At 40.6% G+C, this 13,063-nt stretch overlaps 1 protein-coding gene across 4 annotated transcripts in view; it reads left to right on the top strand.

Annotated features, from left to right (window-relative positions):
* Positions 1–13,063, top strand: part of SEC23A (SEC23 homolog A, COPII component) — a 71,317-nt gene that overhangs the window by 45,538 nt on the left and 12,716 nt on the right. For 2 of the 4 annotated variants that reach the window (XM_005267262.2, XM_011536355.4), the window contains exons 14-17: positions 2,402–2,555; positions 8,969–9,046; positions 10,260–10,331; positions 12,374–12,535. In XM_005267262.2, the coding sequence (XP_005267319.1) occupies positions 2,402–2,555; positions 8,969–9,046; positions 10,260–10,331; positions 12,374–12,535 (466 nt within the window). The remainder of the gene's footprint in view (positions 1–2,401; positions 2,556–8,968; positions 9,047–10,259; positions 10,332–12,373; positions 12,536–13,063) is intronic. The other 2 variants (NM_006364.4, XM_017020928.3) reach the window with 1 other exon arrangement.

The following is a 13,063-nucleotide window of genomic DNA, read 5'->3' as shown; positions in this document are numbered from 1 at the left end:
TATTGTTTTTACTTGTAAAAATCTTTTATTGGCCAAGTGCGGTGGCTCATGCCTATAATCCGAGTGTTTTGGGAAGGCTGAGGCAGGAAGATCACTTGAGTCCAGGAGTTGGAGACTAGCCTGGGCAACATAGTGAGACCCTCACCTCTGAAACAATTGTTTTAAATTGGCTGGGCATGGTGGTCCGTGCCTGTAGTCCTGCTGCTCAGAAGGCGGAGGTGGGAGGATTGCTGGAGCCCAGGAGTTTGAGGTGAATCATGATTGTGCCACTTGAACCATGATCATGCCACTTCATTCCAGCTTGGGTGATAGAGTGAGACCTTGTCTCTTAAAAAAATCTCTGTTTTTTAAAAACTTCCTTATTTTATGACTTTAAAGTTTTTTTTTTTTTTGAGACAAAGTCTCGCTCTGTCGCCCATGCTGGAGTGCAGTGGTGCCATCTTGGCTTACTGCAGCCTCTGCTTCCCAGGTTAAGGCAGTTCTCATCTCCAGAGTAGCTGGGATTATAGGCATGTGCCACCATGCCTGGCTAATTTTTATAGTTTTAGTAGAGACAGAGTTTCACCATGTTGCTGAGGCTGATCTTGAACTCCTGAGCTCAAGCAATCTGCCTGCCTCAGCCTCCCAAAGTGTTGTGATTACAGGTGTGAGCCACCGCAACCAGCCTAGAGATAGGGTCTTGCTGTTTCCCAGGCTGAACTAAAACTTCTGGGCTTAAGTGATTCTCCCACCTTAGCCTCCTGAATAACTGGGACTATAGATGTGTGCCACCATGCTGACTGGACTAGTAAAAATATTAATATTTTAAGGAATGTGGTTGGAGAGCTGCCTTTACACTTACTTTGGAAGATTTCTTTAGGTTTGGTTATATTTTTCTGAAAAACAGTGAATGCTATACTAAAACTGCTATTAGTGATTTAAAAAAATGCTAATTTGAGCCTGGTGTGGTGCTCACGCCTGTAATCCCAGCACTTTGGGAGGTTCAGGTGGGTGGATTGCCTGAGCTCAGGAGTTCAAGACCAGCCTGGGCTACATGGTGAATCCCCATCTCTACTAAAATACAAAAAAGTTAGCCGGAGCCTGTAGTTCTGGCTACTCAGGAGGCTGAGGCACAGGAATTGCTTGAACCCAGGAGACAGAGGTTGCAGTGAGCTGAGATCCTTCCACTGCACTCCAGCCTGGGTGACAGAGCAAGACTCTGTCTCCAAAAAAAAAAAAAAAGCTAATTTGTCTAAGTAATATTGGAATTTTGAAATATTGAAGTAGGCTGGGCGTGGTGGCTCACGCCTGTTATTCCAGCACTTTGGGAGGCCAAGGCAGGTGGATCACTTGAGGTCAGGAGTTCAAGACTAGCCTAGTGAACATGGTGAAACCCCCTCTCTACTAATGTTGTGGGAATCAGGAGACTGGAGAGACTAGTAAGTAGAACAGGAGGATTTTATTGAGTGCACTCAGAACCAGTGGATTAACATCCGAAGACTGGGCCCTGAACAAAGACAGGGCTTGGCTTATCTACACACTTTTGAAAGGGGGCTGACTAGTTTGAAACAAGCTTACAGTGGCATGAAGCGTAGTGGCACGAAAGCTCATGTACAGAGGCAGAACAAAGGCAGTTAATTAAACTGTGACAGGTTCATAACTCAGGCTTATGTGTGACTCCTGCTATGTGGCCCAGATGGCTGTTATCTAGCTTTGCTCAAGAGAGCCTTGCACAGGCTTATCTCATAACCTTCGCTATAGCGCCTAGATGGTTGCAATCCAGTCCCGCTCAGGCATGTCTCATGACCTTCGCTGTGCTGCTCAGTTAAAACAGACTACTTGAAGTTGCTAGTTATAGAAAACAGGAATCTGTAAACTCATAGGTTTACTCATATCGTAAGAGAAAGGAAAATTTGTTTCTCTTTTCCTTGTGTTTGAGGGAGTGCTGGGAGGGTCTCCAGAGCACATTCCTTTGAGCCCTGGCTTCTTGGATAATGTTATCGATACTTTGCCTGGGTCTGGGCTTTGCCTGTTACTGCCTTTGGGATGAGTTAGCCTAATACCTAAAGCTTGTTTCCTTCTCTTGTTTAATTTTATTTTTCTTTATTTGTTTAATTTCCTGCCTCACTAAAAATACAAAAAAATTAGCTGGGCCTGGTGGCAGGTGCCTGTAATCCCAGCTACTTGGGAGGTTGAGGCAGGAGAATTGCTTGAACCCAATAGGCAGAGGTTGCAGTGAGCTGAGATCGCGCCATTGCACTGCAGCCTAGGTGACAGAGCGAGACTCTGTCTCAAAAAAAAAAAAAAATCCTAGTAGTTTCTGTATCTTTTATCTTTTAAATTTAAATTTGTGTGGTAGCCAACTATGATATTGTGGGTATAATAATTCAGAAGCATTTCTATGCTTTCTTATTGTCTTCAGCTGGGCAGATGCTCAAACTCAAATCCAAAACATTGCTGCATCTTTTGACCAGGAGGCAGCTGCCATTCTTATGGCCCGGCTAGCAATATATAGAGCAGAAACAGAAGAAGGTCCAGATGTGCTTAGGTGGCTGGACAGACAGCTCATTCGACTGGTAAGAAATAAACACTGTGCTTTTCTAAATCTGTATGCTTTCATTTGTAGTAAATGTTTGTTGCAGATAATCTCTTTCAAAGTACTTAACAGTGTATCTGAAATACTGTATGAGAAACTCCTATTCAAATTACTGAGACAGTAGCACAGTAATGAATAGTAGAACTCATTAATCTCTTCCAGTAAACTAGATTGCCTTTTTTCCTTAAAATGTAAGAGTGACAATTATGTAACCTATTATTTTTCTATTCTTATTGGCTGGAATGAGGTTAGTTCCCAATTTAATTCTATATTATTGTAACAATTTTTAGTGCTTTTTTACATATTTCTTCATTGCTGTGGCTTTAGTTTTTTACTTTCATTTTAATGGAACTATTATATGTGCATCTCTTAAAAGAAATTAGGCCAGGAATGGTGGCTAATGGCAGTAATCCCAGCACTTTGAACCAGGAGTTCAAGATCAGCCTGGGCAACATGGCGAAACCCCTGTCTCTCCAAAAAAAAATTGGCCAGGCATGGTACTGTGTGCCTGTAGTCCCACCTACTCCAGAGGCTGAGGCGGGAGGATCACTGCAACCCAGGAGGTTTGAGGCTGCAGTGAGCTGTGATTGTGCTGCTGCATTCCAGCCTGGGCAACAGAGTGAGACCTTGTGTCAAAAAAGAAATGAACTGGGGTAGAAAAATTATGCATATTAACATGCAAAATATAGACAAGTCTGTATTATCTGGTTCTAGATTACCAAGTCGTGTGCTAATAAAGTTATTAGTAGTGTTGATTTACTTAGATTTTTAACATGCCAGAACACCATTACTGTACTTACATTATGACACAGAGCACTTGATTAAGCTTAGTCCCTTTTTTTTTTTTTGAGACAGGGTCTCACTCTGTCACCCAGGCTGGAGTTCAATGAGATGATCATGGCTCATCATAGCCTTGACTTCCCCTGCTCAAGTGATTCTCCCACTTCAGCCTCCTGAGTAGCTGGGACTACAGGCACACACCACCACACCTGGCAAATTTAAAATTTTTTTGTAGAGATGGAGTCTGCTTATGTTGCCCAAGGTGGTCTGGAACTCCTGGGTTTAAGTGACTCTCCCACCTCATTCTCCCAAAGTGTTGGGATTACAGGCATGAGCCACCATCACCATACCTGGCTAATTTAAAAAAAATTTTGTTGAGACTGGGTCTCACTATTTTGCTCAAGGTAGTCTCAAACTGCTATGCTCAAGCACCCCTCCCACCTTAGTCTCCCAGAGTGTTGGGATTTTACAAGCATGAGCCACCACACCTGGCTAAGCTCAGTTCTTAATGCTTCATTTTTACTTAGCAACCTCTGGCTTATTCTTTGAAGGTACTTCTTTATGCACTCTAGCTTAAACACCCTTTTGAGAACTCTATTTGCTAAGCTGTCGAATTTCTGTGTCCAGTGGCTTTTGTGTGGTTGGTGTAGGCTTTCATGTAATTTTAAAAATTCTTGAGTGAACTAGACTTGTTTTAAAAAGTTAGCCATTTTTATATCATCATTCAGAACTTTTTTGATTTCACCTCCAAGAGTTTTTTTTATACTAGTACCTCTTTGAAAAAAGCAGCATTATGACAATATTACCTTTTTTTTAAAAAAAAAAAACAAGAAAGATTAATCCTCTCATAGGGTCCACTATTGATGGGACACTATTAGAACAAATGCCAACACAGTTCCTTCAAGGTGGATCTTTTGTTTCCAGATAGATATAACATTAAATATATTTTGACCCTTGCTTATTTAGGATAGCAGAAAAGTTTCTCTTTGTAGCAGAAATTTTCCTTGAATTTCACTGTTATTTAGAAATCTGACATGACATCATTGAAACCTGTTAACTCGTCAATCTGTAGAGAATCTGTTATTTTTCAGCTTATTATACACAGATGTCTCCAGCATCATGTGACATGTCATCAGTGCTTTGACTTATTGTACTGTTTTTAAATGGGACCTTTTCAATTTCTCAGACTACATCTTTTTTTTGTTTTGAGACAGAGTTTGGCTCTTGTTGCCCAGGCTGGAGTGCAGTGGTGCAACCTTGGCTCACTGCCACCTCTGCCTCCTGGGTTCACGTGATTCTCCTGCCTCCGCCTCTGGAGCTGCTGGGATTACAGGTGCACACCACCATGCTGGCTAATTTTTTGTATTTTTAGTAGAGACGGGTTTCACCATGTTGGCCAGGCTGGTCTTGAACTCCTGACCTCAGGTGGTCCACCTGCCTTGGCCTCCTAAAGTGCTGGGATTACAGGCGTGAGCTACCGCACCTGGCCTCAGACAGCATCTTGTCCTAGCATTTTCACTTACTGTGATTTTACATATTGGCAATATTCTTTTCTCAACAACTGTGTGACTTTTCCTTTTCTAGGTAATAAGTTGTACTCTGAAATAGCTTGCTTCCTTAGTTTTTTTCACTAATTGTGACTTTGTCTCAACAAATGCTTCATTGTTTAGAGATTCTAAAAGCTGCTTGATGTAATCAGCACCTTTTGCTTGTCAAATGGCTGTGATTTGTAGTAAAGGGCTTTTTCCATTTTGCCAGAGGTATTGCTGAATTGGTAGGTTGTCACATATGACACAAAATTGAACAGTACAACTTGGATTACTGTCCCATGTAAAACCTACTGATTTTCCTTGTAAAGGTGGATTTTTTTTGTATGTCCCTTGTTGCATGAATACACTGAAATGACTCAGATGATTGTAATTCTTCAGAATTATCAGGATTCTCTGAAGACTTATGTCTAGAATTGTTCTCTTTTATATCTTTTATCTCACATCTCAATTTTGAGATTGTTTTTTAATTTTTTTTTTTCAACTTTTAAGTTCAGGCATACACGTGCAGGATGTGCAGGTTTTTTGTATAGGTAAACGTGTGCCATGGTGGTTTACTGCACAGATATCCCATCACCCAGGTATTATAGGCCAGCATCTATTAGCTATTCTTCCCAATGCTCTCCCTCCCCTCACTCCCCACAGGTGCCCAGTGTGTGTTGTTGCCCCCCATGTGTCCATGTGTTCTCATCAGTCAGCTCCCACTTGTAAGTGAGAGCATGTGGTGTTTGCTTTTCTATTCCTGTCTTAGTTTGCTGAGGATAATGGCTTCCAATTCCATCTGTGTCCCTGCAAAGGACATGATCTGGTTCCATTTTTTTTTTTTTTCGAGAAGGAGCCTCGCCTTGTCGCCCAGGCTGGAGTGCAGTGGCACGATCTCGGCTCACTGCAACCTCCTCCTCCAGGTTCAAGCAATCCTCCTGTCTCAGCCTCCCAAGTAGCTGGGATAACAGGTGTGTGCCACCACACCCAGGTGATTTTTTTTTTGTATTTTTAGTAGAGACGGGATTTCACCATGTTGGTCAGGCTGGTCTCGAACTCCTGGCCTTAAGTGATCTGCCTGCCTTGGCCTCCCGAGTACTGGGATTACAGGTATGAACCACCACGCCCGGCTAGTCTTGTTCCTTCTTATGGCTGCATAGTATTTCATGGTGTATATGTACCACATTTTCTTTATCCAGTCTATTATTGATGGGCATTTAGGTTGATTCCATGACTTTGTCTCACACCTCAATTTCAAAAATTGCCACATTATTTGACATGTTTGTAAAATGTAAGCACTAATGTAAAACAGAAGGGCCTAGTAATTAATTAAATGAGACAACTGCAAAAAGTACAAAATTACATAAACCTCACAGTGTACTTTACTTCTAATCTACACATTCTACATTCTGCAGCATTTACAACAGCAGCAGGGCAGTTGGGGCTAGAGACCAGATTAGTCTTGTGGCCCCATTTTATGATAATGACTGAAGGAAGCAAGGGCTTCCTGTCATGTTAAAGGTATCCAAAACAGACATGGTGCCAGCACCAATTTGGCTCTGTAATGCACACTGTCTCCAAAACAGTACACAAAAAATGATGTTTCTTTTTAATTAAAGTTACTCTAGTAAGTCATCAAGGAAAAGAAAACATATTACTATGCTAAATTGAGGGAAAGAAATTTATTAGTATAATTTCCTAGGTTTTTGATTAGGAAAAAACTTACAAAAAGTTTTAATACCTAAACAGTATTAACTTTTTCTCTATTTGTGTTGCTGTTGTTGTAATAGCTAAAAATTCAGCAGTGAAGTTGTCAGTACAAGAAAATGAGGCTATCCTAGAATAGCTACTGAAACTAAAGTGCGTTATCACCTAAGTCATTTATCACATAAGATACTGGTATCCACACATGATTTACTGCCTCTATTCTCAGTCCCTTGTTCGGATCCATTGTGCATCCAACTTCAGGGATCTGTTCATCTCTTTCTTTCTTTCTTTCTTTCTTCCTTTCTTTCCTTCTTTTGAGATGGGATCTTGCCATATTACTTACCCAGGCTGGACTTGAACTCCTGGGCTCAAGTGATCCTCCCACCTCAGCCTCCCAAGGAGCAGGAACTACAGGCCTGTGCCACTGCTCCCGGCTTCCTTTTTGACTCCTGGCCTTTTCTGTTTCACAACTTAAAATTGATGGCTGATTCATCTCTGACCTTTGGTTTACCCATCAACCACTAATTGTGTTCTCCCTTCAGCTGCATTGCTAGCCATCCTGGGTAAACACTTCATCTAATCAGACTTGACTCAGGAAATCTTCTGTCTTAAGACTATTGGGACTTTCCCTGCAAGCCAGGTTTTCTCTTGCTGCACCAATGGGATGAAACACTTTAGCTTTACTGTTTTTACAGATACCGCTTTTGTCATTACCATTTTCTTATAGAGGTTAGGCATTGACCCCTAGGGTCCTTTTATGTGGCTGCCTTTATGCATAAATAATTACTGAATTAAAGAAGGAATTAGCCTTTTTGTAAGGGATGTTATTTTCCTCAGGAAAATCATTACTGTTGCTTTATCTGCCCAGTTTTATTACTTCTGAATAACTCAAATAGTGGGTCTTGGATATACCTTCTTTATGCTTCAGTCTGTTTTCCACCGGTATTAGTGTTTTGGTTGGGTTGTAAATAAGGACTGCTCCTCGTGACTCAAGTAGTTGATACTAGAGCATTTTACAGGTGTTCAAAAAATTGTTTTTGGCCGGGCACGGTGGCTCACGCCTGTAATCCCAGCATTTTGGGAGGCCGAGACGGGCGGATCATGAGGTCAGGAGATCGAGACCATCCTGGCTAACACAGTGAAACCCCGTCTCTAATAAAAATACAAAAAATTAGCTGGGCGTGGCGGCGGATGCCTGAGGCAGGAGAATGGCGTGAACCTGGGAGGCGGAGCTTGCAGTGAACCGAGATCGCGCCACTGCACTCCATCCTGGGTGACAGAGCGAGACTCTTGTCTCAAAAAAAAAAAAATTGTTTTTTTCTTTTTCGAGACAGAATCTCGCTCTGTCTCCCAGGCCGGCTTGCAGTGGCACGATCATGGCTTACAGAGTAGCCTCAACCTCCTAGGCTCAAGCAATCCTCCTACCATAGCCTCTCGAGTAGCTGGGACTATAGTCACGTGCAACCATGCCTGGCTAATTTTCAAAATTTTTTGTAGAGACAGGATCTCGCTATGTTGCCCAAGCTGGTCTCAAACTCCTGGGCTCAAGTGATCCTCCTGTGTTGGCCTCCCAAAGTGCTTGAATTATAGGCATGAGTCAGCACACTTGGCTCAAATTTTTTTTTTTTTTGGAGACAGAGTCTTGCTCTGCCACCCAGGCTGGAGTCCAGTGGCACGATCTCAGCTCACTGCAACCTCTGCCTTCCGGATTCAAGCAATTCTTTTGCCTCAGCCTCCCATGTAGCTGGGATTACAGGCGCGCACCACCATGCCTGGCTTATTTTTGTATTTTTAGTAGAGATGCGGTTTCACCATGTTGGCCAGGCTGGTCTCGAACTCCTGACCTTGTGATCCGCCCGCCTTGGCCTCCCAAAGTGCTGGGATTACAGGTGTGAGCCACTGCGCCCGGCCACAATTTTTTTTTTTTTTTTAATAGCGATGGTTGTCTTGCTATATTGTTCAGGCTGGTCTCAAACTCCTAGGCACAATCTTCCCACCTTGGCCTCCCAAAGTGCTGGAATTACAGGCGTCAGTCACTGTGCCAGCCTTTTTGGTGTTTTAAGGCACGTGTTGAGCTTTTTTGTTGTTATCTAAGAGCTCTTTATTTGTTGTGAGAGACACTTAGTTAAAAAATATCCAAATATTTTAAGGTGAGTTATTAATTACATTGGGACAATGTGGTGTTTGTTTCTGAAATTTAGATGTTTTTTCTTTGGTTTTGTCTCTTGGTAAGTCTATAAGTAATATTATAATTTTATTCTTTATCAAGTATCTGCTTCCTGATGATTGGTAACTTCTTGTAAATAGAATATTTATAGGCAACAGTGTTAGCTTTTATTCCAGGAAATAAATTACTAACACATTTTATTTTATTTAGTGTCAGAAATTTGGAGAATATCATAAAGATGACCCAAGTTCCTTCAGATTTTCAGAAACTTTCTCCCTTTATCCACAGGTAAGTAGGTAAAAGGTCCATATTCTTTTCTTTTCTTTTTTTTCCTTTTTTAGAGACAGGCTCTCCCTATGTCATCCATGCTGAAGTATAGTGGCTCCATCATAGCTCACTGTAACCTGGAACTCCGGGGCTTAGTCAGCCTCCTGAGTAGTTAGGACTACAGGAGTGTGCCACCATGCCGAGCTAATTTTTTTTTTTTTGGTAGGGATGGTTTCCTGCTATGTTGCCCAGGCTGGTCTTGAACTCTTAGCCTCAAGCAGTTCTTCTGCCTTGGCCTCCCAAAGTGCTAAGATTGCCACATCCAGACAGACCCATATTCTTTTCTTGTGTGGCCAGTAGCATTGAGCCTCATTTTTCCTTTTTTATTGCTCTTTTTATGGTATCTATTTTATTGGGTTATTCTTTTTGTTAGGTAAGTTTTGGGATAGCTAAGAAATTAATATTGTGCTACGAGTAGTTGGTGAAAAGTATATAATATTTTTATATTGGCCTTGCAAATAGTCATTTATTTGTGGTGAATAGAGACTTATTCTGGAACCCTGCAGTGGGTAGAATTACATGTAAGGCTGGTTAGTTTTCCATTTGACATAAGGGGACCTAATTATAGTGGTACCAGAAGGACTTCATCTGAGGTTATTTTACCAGTTAGCTAGTCTTGCAGTATGGTATCATCACCTGAGAACAATTTTATGGGGCCAGACCAGATAAATAGAAAATAAACTCATTTGATTTACCTTACAGAATATTTTCCACCTGGAGCAGTGGAATCTATCCCTCCATCTTCCTGTTGATTTGATAGATATTTTTAAGTCTGTGTGTTTAGAGTGCTGTGTGCAGGGAACTTTAGGAGGATACAGGTGACTGACATGGATCCCTCTTACAAGGAGCTTTTAAAAGGGTGAGATGTGAAATATACATAAACAACACAGAACAGAAAGTGAGAAATATACAGAATTTAAAGGAAACTTAAAGGAGTCCTTCCAAATGGATGATTTTATATATCTTTTGAAGGAGGAGGTGGCCTTTTAGCTTAACTTGGAAGGATGATTAATATTGAGATGTGGAAATTCATATTTTTGCCCATGAGAACTTTGTTTAAAGCATCAGCTTTCTTTTTCAGAGCTGCTCTGTTTTTTTTTTTGTTGTTGTTGTTTTTGTTTTGAGGATCCTTTATTGCTGATTGATCTATAACCCAGAAACTCCATGCTTACAGAGGAGAGACTTCCCTAAAACCTCTGGTGAGATCCTGGAGAACCAGGAAAAGGCAAGGTCTGCTTGTCTTAAGGCATGTAAAATTCTTTGTTTTGTCATTTTTGTAGCAGAAACTAATAGGAAAGTGATGGAGGGCATTAGCCTAAGTATTTGACTAAATTCTGCACACTTTCTCTTCTCTCCCTGCCTCAAGCCTTCTTGTTGGGCTTTTAGATCTTCAGAGAGATCTGGACATTTCCATCTTTCTTCCTTTCCTGGAAATAGGAAGCAGAGGACCCTGGAATACTTTTTGTCTTGGGTTTTCAAAGTCTGATAATCTTCTAAAAGGTAGCATAGACCAAATTTAAGGGAAGTCTTCATCCCCAAAATATTACCTAACATTTACCAATTGGTCATTTCTGTGAGTAAACAAGAATGACTGAAGTAGTAAGGGATGCAAGAGCCTCTCAATGAATTATGGATCCTGAAAACAGAATAGGAATCAGAATTTCAGTGAATGACATGTTGGGAGAAAGCTGTTGAGTGAGTCCCAGGCAGGAGCAACATATAGGCACTTAAGACCTGAGGGTTGGAGGAATTTAAGAGAAGTGACTAAAGACAAGTGGGAATACTTTCTGGCTGATCCTAATCAGTTTTATCAAAGACCCAGTGTAACTGTCCATTATTCAGGCCTAACTCTCCCTCTTTTTGATTTCTTTCATGTGAGGAGTAGGTGGAAGGGAAGGAAAGTGAAAGGAGAAAGAAGCAGTGAAACAAAATCTGGAGAATGTTTCTTAGGTATAGGGAAGATATTAAATATTAAGAAATTATATGGGTATATATGTGGTTGTTTTTTTTTAAACCAGTGTAGACCCTTCCCAGTACAATTTTTAAGTCATGGTATTCGTTCTCATGTTGCTAATAGACATACCCGGGACTGGGTAATTTATAAAGGAAAGAGGTTTGTTTATTTATTTATTTATTTTTGAGACAGAGTCTCACTCTTGTCACCCAGGCTGGAGTGCAGTGATACAATCTCAGCTCACTGCAGCCTCTGCCTCCCTGGTTCAAGCAATTCTTGTGTCTCTGCCTCCCGAGTAGCTGAGATTACAGACACATGCGACCATACCCGGCTAATCATTTTTTGTATTTTTAGTAGAGACGGGGTTTCACCATGTTGGCCAGGCTGGTCTTGAACTCCCAACCTCAGGTGATCCACCTGCTTCGGCCTCCCAGAGTGCTAGGATTACAAGCGTGAGCCACCATGCCCAGCCAAGAGGCTTAATTGACTCACAGTTTCACATGGCTGGGGAGGACTCACAATCATGGCGGAAAGCGAAGGGGAAGCAAGACATATCTTACGTGGCAGCAGGCAAGAGAGCATGTGCAGGGGAACTCCCATTTATAAAACCATCAGATCTCCTGAGACTTACTACCACGAGAACAGTATGGGGGAAACTGCCCCCTGACATGATTCAGTTCCCTCCATCTGGCCCTGCCTTAACAAGTAAACTTGAATTGACAATTCAAGGTGAGATGTGGGTGGGTGGGGATGTAGCCAAATCATATCAGCCATATAAAAAGTAGAAAATCTGTAATTTATTTTTATATGTTCTTAGAATCTTTGGTGTTGGTAATGAGTAGTAATAAAAAAGCCCAAAGATATGGTCAGACGTGTGAAGATTAAAAACAAAGAATGGTCATAGTTTTACTACCTGGCGTCAGCCTCTGAATAACTTAGATTTGAGCAAGGGGTTTTTGTCTTTTTGTTTTTTTCCTTTTAAATACAAAGTCTTGTTATGTTGCCTAGACTGGTCTCCAACTCCTGGGCCCCAAGCCATCCCAGAGTGTTGGGATTACAGGTGTGAGCCACCATGCCCAGCCATCCTTTTCTTACTTTAACTTAAAAATTTTTTTTTTCTTTCTTAAATTTTTTTTCTTGTGGAATTTTATTTTTAGGCAGCTGATAAATTTTGTGAATAGGATTCCTTTCCTGAGGGATATAAATTAGAACATTCTTATAATAACATGTTTTGTTATGTTGTTAATAGTTTGTAATCAAATATTTTTGCTAATAGTAAACACCTGTTTTAATATTAAAATCAGTAACAACTATCTTACGTGTTTATCTTACAGTTTATGTTTCATTTAAGAAGATCTTCTTTCCTGCAAGTTTTTAACAATAGTCCTGATGAGAGTTCATATTATCGTCACCATTTTATGCGTCAAGATCTGACCCAGTCTCTAATTATGATTCAGCCTATCCTGTATGCGTATTCTTTTAGTGGACCACCAGAGGTAAGAGGGACAGAAAAAAATAAATTGGTCTTGTTACTGCAATGTGTGGCATTAAAAAAGTGAAAATAACTAAAAAAATGCATATAGTTACTAAATATAAGAATTTAACTAAAAGAATGGACATCTCAACCTATTAATGTATTCGCTTAAAATATTTATGAATGTTTACTATATGCTAGATACCATGTAGGCTGTATTAGAAGATTGTTAAATTTTTTTTTTTAAAGGAGATGGAAGAGACTTTCAGATCATTTTGTCCAGCCATTTGGTTAATCAAATCCTCCAAAGCATATGATTATTCTTTACGTCTTTAACAATGTCCAGAAGTGATTATAATTCTGTAGACTGTAGCTTATTCCAGAGTTTAGTGTCTGTGACAGTTATGACATTCTGTCTAAACAAAGGCTCTTGTTTTAATCTCATTTTCCTTTGTTTTTTTGAGAACATAAAAAATAGTTGATTATAAAGACACATGCTTAGAAGATTGATAAAGTTATCCATTTAACCTTCTTAGCAGACTGTCCCACT

The sequence above is a fragment of the Homo sapiens genome, chromosome 14, assembly GCF_000001405.40.
Source record: "Homo sapiens chromosome 14, GRCh38.p14 Primary Assembly".
Classification (NCBI taxonomy): Eukaryota; Metazoa; Chordata; class Mammalia; order Primates; family Hominidae; genus Homo; species Homo sapiens.
The sequence above is the reverse complement of the archived record's forward strand: the minus strand, read 5'-3'. Positions and strand labels throughout refer to the sequence as shown.